Source organism: Homo sapiens, chromosome 11, assembly GCF_000001405.40.
Source record: "Homo sapiens chromosome 11, GRCh38.p14 Primary Assembly".
In the NCBI taxonomy this organism is placed as follows: Eukaryota; Metazoa; Chordata; class Mammalia; order Primates; family Hominidae; genus Homo; species Homo sapiens.
In genome coordinates this window covers 61,240,681-61,251,755 of record NC_000011.10, presented here as the reverse complement: position 1 = coordinate 61,251,755, position 11,075 = coordinate 61,240,681, and the positions used below count along the sequence as shown (strand labels likewise).

At 51.7% G+C, this 11,075-nt stretch overlaps 1 protein-coding gene across 1 annotated transcript; it reads right to left on the bottom strand.

Annotated features, from left to right (window-relative positions):
- Positions 1 to 311: 311 nt before the first annotated feature.
- Positions 312 to 10,581, bottom strand: PGA5 (pepsinogen A5). Its single transcript, NM_014224.5, has 9 exons — positions 10,474 to 10,581; positions 9,825 to 9,987; positions 7,474 to 7,591; positions 6,486 to 6,604; positions 5,611 to 5,810; positions 3,221 to 3,337; positions 1,943 to 2,087; positions 1,742 to 1,840; positions 312 to 624 (listed from the first exon to the last, which is right to left on the bottom strand). Exons 1-9 carry the CDS (start codon positions 10,527 to 10,529, stop codon positions 475 to 477), a joined length of 1,167 nt encoding a protein of 388 aa, NP_055039.1. The 5' UTR covers positions 10,530 to 10,581; the 3' UTR covers positions 312 to 474.
- Between the last annotated feature and the right edge of the window lie 494 nt (positions 10,582 to 11,075).

The window sequence follows — 11,075 nt, the reverse complement described above, 5'->3', positions numbered from 1 at the left end:
TTTTTCTTTGAGCTGGAGTCTCTCTGTGTCGCCCAGGATAGAGTACAATGGCAGGATCTCAGCTCTGTGTCCCTTCTATGAGAAGACAATTAGCTCAGTATTTTGGCCCCCAGGTCTTTTTATGATGCTTCCAGCACAACCCCCTGAAGCCTCTCTGTCTTCCTGGCTCCATCATGAAGTGTCAGCTGCTGGGGTCACTATGTTGGGTGCCATCCAAGTGGATGTGGTCATTTTCATCCCTGCCCTGGCGTTCTAACCCCAGTAATGTGAAGGAAAAAGACCAGCAAAGAGAAGCAGCTCCACAAAACCTGTTTCAGTGGGTTATGTTTTTATTCTACGTTATTGGTAGGACAGGGAACAGGGCCAAGACCTTCACACTCCCCTGGGAAGAACAGTCAGGAGAATTAGATACATCTAAAGTGGGCATAGGACGGAGGCCAGATCTTCCTGGGAGGTGGCTGAAGAGACTTAGGCTTAAGCCACAGGGGCCAGGCCGACCTGGTTGTTTGCCCTGTCGAAGACGGTAAAGTACTGGCGGATGAAGACATCACCCAGGATCCAAAGCTCTCCAGATTCGGTGGGGACGTTCATGCCCTGGAAGCCACTGATGCAGCTCCCCTCGCTCTGGAGAAAAGGAGAATAAAAGTGGAGCTGGGACACCGATTCAGCCGTGATAGGCGCTGGGTGATAAACATCCAGGGAGCCCTGGTCCAGCTGTAAGGCACGTGCAAGGAGGAGCTTCCTGGCTCAGTGTCCAGGGATTCGGCTGTTCTTGGCCTGGAGTCAGCCTGTAGAAGCCATCCAATGCACGACTGGTTTCTACGCATTACTGGACATTATCTGGTGTTTCTGGCAGGCACACGAACCCTGACATCAGCATCGGTGCTAAGGGGCTTAGGTAGAATTCAGCTGCTAGGAAGGAGTTTAAAAACCCTGCCACTACATCCTTTTCTCATTATTATTCTTATCTCATCAGGGACAAACCAGATGAGCTATTAGCCCTCTTGCCTCACTAAGTCACTGGGCTGCGACCTTGTCTGCACATCACCTGGGGAGCTTTGAACCCCCGCAGCCCCATCCCATTGCTCAGGCCTTGCCCTCTCCTAATGTAATCAGAATCAGTGGGGGAGCCCAGGCATCAGTGCTTCTTGTTGAATAACTTGAGTCCACTGGCAAAATTAGTTTTCCACCTGACGTTATAATAACAGAAGGGAAAGAGTTTTCTTGTGGCTCGTATAGCTAAAGATTTGCTACTTGGTAGAGATGGTAGAAGTGTTGGAAGCCCCAGCCTATGGAAATTAGGATTTCCATTTGCCCAACCCTTGGTAGCTCTGATGTGATCAGTCTCACTTGGTTGACCTAACCGCACTCTGAGGGTGGGGAAAGCTGCCATCTCTACCTTTTGGATGCGAAAACTGAGGGTGAGATGAGCTGTAGCTTGTTCAGAATCAATGGGCTAGTAATTCAGACCCAGGACTTGGACGCAGGGGTCCAAATAGAATCCTCTTTTCACTCCATTAACCTTTGCTTCACTTGTTCCCTTAGGGGGCTGTATCCGAGTTCTTATTCCTGCATTTGTTTTTAATATATTCTTTTTCTCTGGAGGCTGTCTAGGGCAGATGTTCGTCTGCCTCTGCCTGCTGGCTTCAGCTCGTGGAAGTGTACTTTCCCTCTGCAGAAGGGGACTCTGTGTCCACATTCTGTGTGAACCTCTCTAGTGGATGGTCCAGAGCCTCCTCACCTGCAGGATGTAGGCACTGGGTGGCACGGGGTACTGGACTCCATTGATGGTGAAGACGATGTCGGGCAGGCTGCTGATGGCTGAGCAGCTGACCACCATCTGGAAAGAGTGAGGGTGAGAAAAGTTAGAAGGGTTTTCGTCGCTTCTGCCTGGCACACCCACTACTTGAGTGTAGAACAGGGCAGTCGGGGCTGGACTCACGTCGCCATCTGAGTTCTCGCTGGCTCCGATGTCGCTCTGGATGTTGGCAATGGGGCTGGTTGGGCCGGTCAGCAGAGAGGTGCCGGTGTCAACAATGGCCTGGCAGCCCTCAGCACAGGCGATGGTCTCTCCGTTCATGGTGATGCTGAGGGTAAGAAGCAAGTTAAGCTCCCTGAGCCCTCAGGGGTTCATCTCTCCAAGGAGGAACCAGGAGGTGAGCCCAGACATTCCTTCCCCACCCATCCATTGGCCAATGCGTGAAATTTCTGTTCCTCTCGTTCACGCACTCATTCATCCCGCATTCATTTACCCTACAAATATTTCCCAAGTGCCTACCCTCTGCCAGGCATGGGAAACGCCAAGCGAAACAAGACAGCCTCACAGTTCCAGGCTGCAGGGAGCTCCCGGCCTAGCTGGCAAGATAAGTTATGTTGGCAGAAGGGCAAGATGATCAGTCAGGCATGAGGCAGGGAACAAAAACAGGGCCCAGGGTGAGAGGTGGTGGAGGGGAGCAGCCAGGGGAACAGACACCCAGGAATGCCAGGCAGGTGAAGAGAGAAGGAGGACATCATCAGGGGATGGTATGCGGGGAGGTACAGAGACCAGAGGGCTGGGGCAGGTGTTGGAGGAACTGGTGAAATTCTAGCATGGCTGGGCAGACATGAGGTGATCCATGTGTCCTGGTTTGCCTGGGCTGGTCCCAGTTTTAGTACTGAAAGTCTCTGTCCTGGGAAATTGTTCATTCTTGGGAAAACCCACACCACTGAGCACGCTAGCAGGCTAGCTGGGGAAGAACAGCGTAGAAATGAAGCTGCCAGGGAGACAGGGGAGGCCCCGAAGGGGAGGGTGGAATGAAGTGACTTCACACAATTTCTTAGCCATTTTGCCCCACTTCTAGACGGAAAGTGACATGTTTCCTCGAGTGGCAGGAGCGTGTGCTTGTTCACAGCCCCCTTAAATTGTGAGATGCGTGGACAGGTGGGTCCCCCAGCTCTCCCCAGGGATGCTGGTGGATGGTCCTGCCTCCGTGACTAGGAGGACAGTGGCCATCTCACCCTTGCAGAGTCTCAGCTTCCCAGACAGCTCTTCCCTCCTCCTGCAGGGAGGTGTCTTTCTAGGGGTCTCTTTGGCTTGGCCAACTTCCACCTTCCCCCTGGAGTGTGTTCCCCTGTGCCAGCTGTTCCTGGGGGGATTCTGGAAAGCTGATTGGCTATGAATCCATAAGGAAATGGGATCTGGGGCCCAGGCCTGGATGCTGCCCGTTCATGGCAGTCTCACCTGTCCACGGTGATCTGCCAGTAACCCTCGACGGTAACAGGCACCCAGTTCAGACTTCCAGTGTAGTAAGAAGAGTCAATGCCACCAAAGATCACCACGCTGCCACTCTTGTCATCGCTGTGGAAAGTGAGGGGAGAAGACATGAATTTTTTTGTTCGTCCATTTGTGTGACCATCTGCTGTTGCCTCCTCAGAGCGACCGTTGATTGGGCACTTTCCAGGGCTGTCCTGGGGTGTGACCAATGTGGTTTCTTTTCCTCTTAGGCCAGGGCCCATGCAGTGGGCACCGTCACTGTTGTTTCCACTTACCATGAGGACACTGAGCCTGAGGGAGGTGAGGCCACCTGCCCAAGGTCACACAGCGGGGGAGTGGTGGAACTACGTTTGGAAGAACACAGGCCTTATAGTTTGAATGTGTGGTTTCCACCGTGGTACCCACTCTGGTTGCCATGGGGACCCCAGGGAAGTGAATGCATGACAGTGTCCGCTCTTAAGGACTTGAGGGTGGAGGTCACTGGTTCTTAGCTGGGAGCAGTTTTGCCCCCAGGGGCATGTCTGGAGACATTTTGGATTGTCATGATTGGGTGGGGGTAGGGGATGCTGCCGGCATCTCATGGGTAGAGGCTGGGGATGCTGCCAAACATCCTACAATGCACGGGACAGTCCTTGGCGGCAAGGAATTATGGTGGTCTGAAATGTTAACAGTGCCCAGATTGAGAAACTCGGATCTGGCTGGGGAGATACAATGGCCCCACATGAAATATTTAAGTGCTCATAAAGGCAGATGATGTTTCAGAGCCACCTTGAACATTAACTGGCCAAGAAGAATACATGACAAAGAGCCTTCCTGTTGTAAATTGCAGGAGTCCTTGTTATTGCAATATTCATTTTCTAAATCTCTGCAGTTTCAGGTTAGATGTGGAAGGAAATGTAGACGGCAATAAGAAATTAATTATCCGGGGCTGGGCGTGGTGGCTCATGCCTGTAATCCCAGCACTTTGTGAGGCCAAGGCAGGTGGATCACGAGGTCAGGAGATGGAGACCATCCTGGCTAACAGGGTGAAACCCCATCTCTACTAAAAATACAAAAAATTAGCTGGGCATGGTGGCCCATGCCTGTAGTCCCAGCTACTCGGGATGCTGAGGTAGACAATGGCATGAACCCAGGAGGCAGAGCTTGCAGTGAGGCGAGATAGCGCCACTGCACTCCAGCCTGGGCGACAGAGCGAGACCCCATCACAAAAAAAAAAAAAAAGAAATTAATCATCCGAGAACTGGCCATTTCTAAAACATGACCCCACTCACTGAACCCACCCCACCTTTGCTGCGAACATCTCACAGTGCAAGGCAATATAGTGAGGACCTAGACGTGTAGTTACCAACCGAGGAGACACATGAATGACGGCGAACCCTTTCAAGAGAGGACGATGTAGGTGAGTGTTAGAGGAAAGCTGAATGTCTTAAGAAAGTGGAGGATGCCCTCAGGTATTCTTGCATAACACTCTACTCAGCCCAAACTGACATTTGGTTTATTCTTTGTTCATTTGTTTGTTTGTTCATTTATTCTTTGTTCATTCCTAGAATTAGCCCCCGGTCACAAATGGAACCTAGATTTTATTAAATCATAAAAGAAACTTGCTTTCATGATTGAAAAATGTCATCATTCATGATACATCTTGATCAAATCTTTTCATTTTTGTGCTATGGAATTTTGGTCTAAGTATAGTCACTTTATTTTATTTATTTATTTATTTATTTATTTATTTATTTATTGAGATGGAGTCTTGCTCTGTTGCCCAGGCTAGGATGCAGTGGTACAATCTTTGTTCACTGCAACCTATGCCTCCCAGGCTCAAGCGATTCTCCCTGCCTCAGCCTCCTGAGTAGCTGGGAGTACAGTTGCCTGCCATCATACCTGGCTAATTTTTGTATTTTTTAGTAGAGACAGGGTTTTGCCATGTTGGCCAGGCTGGTCTTGAACTCCTGACTTCAGGTGATCCTCCCGCCTCAGTGCTGTAATCCCAAAGTGCTGGGATTACAGGCATGAGACACCATGCCTGGCTAACTGTATTCACTTTAAATGGTATCTTTGGGGGCCAAGGGTGAGGGAAGTGGCACTAAGGGGCAAATGGCTGATGACATTTGAGTTGTGCACATCAAGGGGACAAAGATGCTGGTAAAATAAGATGGAGTGCACATGGCCCGTCAGAGACAGACTTGGCACTATTACTCTCCAAAGACACACTTCTCCAGCCTCAGACATTGACTTTCAAATCCCTTGCTTCCCAAGACCCTCTCCATCGCACCCAGCCTTGGACAGCTCCTGCTGGGCAGGAACACTGTGACCTCTGGAGGGGGAGGTGGGAGGAGGCCCCTCTCCACTCAACTTACGCGCTGAGGTAGACAGAGAAGAGGTCCTGAGAAACCAGGCCCTGGTTCCAGATGTTGTCAAAGACGGGTGTGGCCCCGGAGGAGGAAATGCTGGGGTAGGCCAGCCCCAGGATGCCATCGAAGGGAGCATAATACAGGAAGGAGCCAGGTTCCGTCTCGCTCAGGCCGAAGATCTGATTGGTGTCAGAGATGCCTCCAACCTGGGTGGGGAAACCGAGATGATGTTCACCATCGGGTCATGTTCACTGAGCTCTGGATGCCAGCCTCAGGCCCAGAGCCACCCTGGTTCATCTCATGCAGGACTTGGCTTCCAGGGTATCAGCCCGGGAGGAGGGCAGAGGGACTGTCTGCTGGAATGCTGGTTCCTCTGCTGGAGGTAACCATGGCAGCTGATCTCCAGATGGCTACAGTCTATGACTCAGGGTGAGATTTTGCTGGAGAACAGATGGTCACTGTGTGTTTGTGTTTCTGATGAACAAACGCAAAGCAGACCCCAGACCCCAGGCCTTTGACCCCTGCCATGCCCCGAAAGTGGCAGGGAGGGCTTGTGGAGATTTCGTGACTTGGGGTGCTGCATGTCGGGAGAAGAAGGAAGAGGAGGAGGTGCTAGTAGAGAAGTGAGCCTTTACTGACTCTCCCCACACTCCATAACATTCTGCTTGGGTGGAGCTGAGTCTGGGTTATGGCTCCTGGCACCCCACCCTTTTACTCACTGCCACCCGAGCTAGCAATGTCTGTGACATCTCTGCTGCTTCTCCCCCACCCCGCACCCCCAATCAGGTTACTTCTGTGATCACCAAGACTCATCTTGCTGGAATAAGCTTATTTTGGGGGTGCCTGATGGGGGGATGCAGCGGCAGCCTGCAGGTGCCCACCTGGACAGTGTCGTATCCGAGGATGCCTGTCATGCTGCCGGTGCCGTAGGTGATGGAGACTGTCTCGCTGGTGGACTGGTAGGTGGAAGAATCCTCAGGGTTGAAGCGGTTGTGGTTGGCTGCAAGGACAAGCGGTGAGTGTTATTCTCTGAGAGCTGGGTGAAGGTCATGGGCTGGATGTCTTCCTGGGATGGGGTGCCCTGGCCCTGGGACGGGCTCTGGAGGTGAGCAGCGACCTTTCGCCCTAGACCCTTGGAGCCCAAGAGACCCCAGGTTCTGTCCTGTCTCGTTGAACTACTGGGACCATTCACTGGTGGCAGTTTCCCCAGCCAACCCCAAGGGCCTCCTGGAGACCTCCCCAGACCAACATAGAGCGGAGCAGGCCCGTGGCTACCCAGTGACGAGCGCTTTCACCCTCTAGCCCCCAGCCAGTGCTCCCGTTATGATGTGGATGATGCCACAGGCACCTCATCTTCATTAAAACTCCAGTGAAAACACTAGAAGAGGAAGGAACCTGCAACACACATTGTTCATGACTTCCAAAGACAAACTCTCTTTCATTAGCAAACCAATGATTCTTTTTTTTTTTTTAAATGAGCTCAGCACTGACCTCTAGCCTGTCCTAGCCAGGCTTTGAAGCCATTTTCTCACACTGGACTCTTTCCTGGTGGGCTATTCTACAGCCCTTTGGCCCTGTCTTGCTTTGGGCCCCCCATACTTCCTCTCCCAGCCTGTGGTTATTGAGGAGAGCTTCTCTCTGCCCTCAGACTGTGTAGTCTTTGACCGCAGGGATCATATCACTCATCCCTTTACCCCCTGGAGCACCTGAGCCCAGTGCTTGGCACGTAGTAGGTGCTCAATAAATGCCTGTTGAGTGGCTCCAGCAGGCTTGAGGTGGGAACTGTTTGAAGCCCGTGGGTGTCCAGGGTTCCCCAGGGTCGGCTGGTGCTGGGGAGTGAGAGTGGGGTAGGGCGGTCTGGGCACTTACTGCAGGCAAGACTGGAGCAGTAGACTGAGGGCACCCACAGGTTGGAGGAGCCGGTGTCAAAGACGACGGTGAAATCCTGGGCAGGAGTTCCGATGCCGATAGTGCCGAAGTACTCCATCTGTCCAGGCGAGGACAGGGCAGTTCACGGAACGGGGTCTCTCTGTCAGGGCCTCCCTAGGGGCTGTCTCTGGGTCATCTCCTCAGTCTGCCTCTCCATCTTTTCCTTCATTCCTCACAGTTCTTATCTTTCTCTTCCCAGCCACTGTCTTCATCCTTCAAATCCCAGCCCTGGCGTCCCTTCCTCCTTGAAGTCTTCCCTGATTGCTCCCCCAATTTACCCTCTGCTCTCTGTTAAGCACCACAAGCACCTAACAATCTGCTGTTCCCTCTTTAGCCATTGTCTTGTCTGTCACAGTCTTCCCATCCGTACAGCGCATGTTCTCAGAGGATGGCGGTGGAACCTTCTAGCACCGGGCAAGTTACAGCTTAAGTGCTTGTGCCTTAAATTGTTTATCAGAAGCTAAGCAAGCCACTTAAAGATGGAAACCTGTCCAGTTTTCTTATTTCTACATCTAGATGTGTATAGCAGGTTGCAAGAAAGGGCATTGACAGTATTTTTATTCTTTTTTTTTGAGACAAGTCTCACTCTGTTGTCCAGGCGGGAGTGCAGTGGCGCGACCTCGGCTCACTGCAGCCTCCTCCTCCTGGGTTCCAGTGATTCTCCTGCCTCAACCTCCCAAGTAGCTGAGATTACAGGTGTGTGCCATCATGCCCGGCAAATTTTTGTATTTTTAGTAGAGACGGGGTTTCACCATGTTGCCGGGCTGGTCTCGAACTCCTGACCTCAAGTGATCCACCCGCCTCCGCCAATCAACCAGTATTTTTCTTGTTAGTGGCAGCATTTTCCCCCTGCCGGCTCTGTTCCCGCCACACTGGTCTGCTTGCTGTTCTTTGGCGATGACCAGTCACTCCTGCCCTAGGGCCTTTGCACTGGCTATTCCTTGTGCTAGGAAAATGTTTATTCTAGATCTTTCCTTGGCTGATCCTTTTATCAAAAATCAATCATTCAGCTCTCTAGTCAAATGTCCCCTCTGCCAACAGGCCTTCCGTGACCACTTTATCTAAATTTGCCCCCTCTCAATCTTCTTGTTCCCCATGCTCCCATTAATTAATTTGCCAAGGCCCTTATCATTACCTGAAATTATCTTACATGGTTGTTTATTTGTTATCCCCTTTAGAGTATAAGCTCCAGGAACTTTGATTATTCACCATCATTTTGGCAACTTGCATAGCCTCTGGCACATAGAGAGGTGCCAATATTTGTTAAATATTTGTGAACTAAATAAATGCGCTAATTAAGCCTCTTACCAAGGGCCTGGCAGACCCCATGCTAAGCACTCCAGAAAACATGATCGTGTTAATTCCTGGCAACATCCTCTGACGGTAGATATTAGTGGTTCTGTTTTCCAGACCAAGACACAGGCTCAGAGTATTTAAATGACTTGGCCAAGGTCCTGTGGCTTAGAGGCACTAGGACCCATATTTGCACCAGGTCTGCTGGATGGCAGAGGCCAGTCTCTGAACCACAGGCATCACTGCTTTGTGCCCTGTGCCAGTCACAGAGGGGACATACAATATCTGCAGGAGGGCAGGGTGTTTGCTATCGGGTCTCAAATAACAAAGTCAGGGTGATCTTTCTGAAACTCAGATCTGATCTTGTCATCCCCCTGTTTAAGATAAATCAGAGGCAGTTAGGATGGAGCCTCTCTGCGTCCACCCCTCAGTTCCTCGGACCGCAGTCTGCAGCACCCTTCTTCCCTCCCTCTCGGCTCCCCTTCAAAGGCACTGTGCTCCCGCCTGCTACAGGGTTTGGCACAAGGGATCAGGCTATGCGGAGTTCTGTCTTGTTCTCTTGGAAACTCCTGCTCTTCCTGCGTGGCTCCAGGGAGGCTCCCTGCCCAAGTGGCAGACTCTCGCAGTGTGACACCGTCACTCTGTAGTCCTCCTGCTGCCTGTTCTTTTCATTGGTTTGCGAGACCCCTTGATGACTGTGTTTGTCTCCTAGGCTATGAGTTTGCTCACTGCTGTCTCCCCCTGAGCCCAGCACAGGCCCTGAAATAGAATGAGGCGCTCAGAGAAATTAACATTGCATGAACGAGTGAACGAATGAATGAATGAACTCTGACTGTGAGCTTTCCTGCCTGCCCTGGGCCACTGACATCTAGGGGGCAGACTCTGGGTCACTGCCTGGAGCCACAGAGCCCAGGCCCGTCCTCCAAGACCCCTGGGACACCCTCTTTCCTGCGGGCCAAGTCCTCAGAGCTGGCCCCACCACTTGCCCGCACACTCACATCCAGGTAGTTCTCCAGGGGCTGTTCATCTACCAGGGTGGGAGCCTCCCACTGGGGGAAGTACTTTCTGGCTGGGTTGAGGTTGTGCTTCTTCAGGAAGTCCTTCAGCAGGCCACGCTCGGACAGGGTGCGCCTCAAGGACTTCTTTCTGATGAGGGGGACCCTGTGGTTTGGAGAAGGAAGAGGAATTAGGCAAGGATTCTGCTGACCGGGTGCTGTGGCAGCCCCAGAAGGGAAGGGAAGCTGGTCTAAGAGAGGAAGAAGGAAGGAAAGGAGACGCCCCCTCTTCTGCCCAACAATGCAAAGAAGTTAAGTTGACTAGTGCTGGAGCTGGGAGCCAAACCCAGGCTGGACTCTTAACCAGCTGATCTAAGAGAGGAAGATGGAAGGAAGGGAGAAGCTCCCACTTCTGCCCCATAATGCAAAGAAGTTAAGCTGACTAGGGCTGGAGCTGGGAACCACAGTCAGGCTGGGCCCGAGTTTTAACCATGTCTGCAGGGCTGCCTCCCAAAAAGGCAGAGAGAGAGGCGGAAAAGGGGGATGGAGACAGCTGAAGAGAGAGAGAAAAAAAAGGGAAGAAGGAAGACACGGGAGGAAAGAAAGGTGATGTGGGAGGCAGCGTCTTCACACCCACACCACCCGGACTCACTTGTACATGATGCACTCAGAGAGCGCCACCAGACCCAGCAGCAGCAGCCACTTCATGGTTCTTCCCGGGTCCCAACTCGAGGGAGAAGGCAAGATGGGAGGAAGGTGCAGAGCAGCAGCATGAGCTGCCCCTTATATACAAGTTGGGTCCCGCCTTATCGGCCTCTGAAAGTCACCGGTTCCCCTGATCCCAAACAGAGAAGCTCCTGATAAGATTGTGGCTGCCCTGAGCCACATTCTGAGACCTTTCCAGCTGAGGCACTTTCCATTGTAACCTTGCACCATGGGGAGGGGGGAGGGTGCCATGGGGGTGGACCCGCAGAGAGAGAGAGGAGCAATGACCGGGAGGCTATTTTCTTTTCTTTTCTTTTTCTTTCTTTTCTTTCTTTCTTTTTTCTTTTTCTTTCTAAGCAATGACCTGGAGGCTTATTTGTTTTCTTTTCCTTTCTTTCCTTTCTTTTCTTTCCTTCCTTTCCTTCTTTCTTTCCCTTTCTTTCTTTTTCTTTCTTTCTTTTCTTTCTTTCTCTTTCTCTCTTTCTCTCTCTCTCTCTCTTTCTTTCTTTCTTTCTTTCTTTTCCTCTCTTTCTCCCTTTCTCCCTTTCT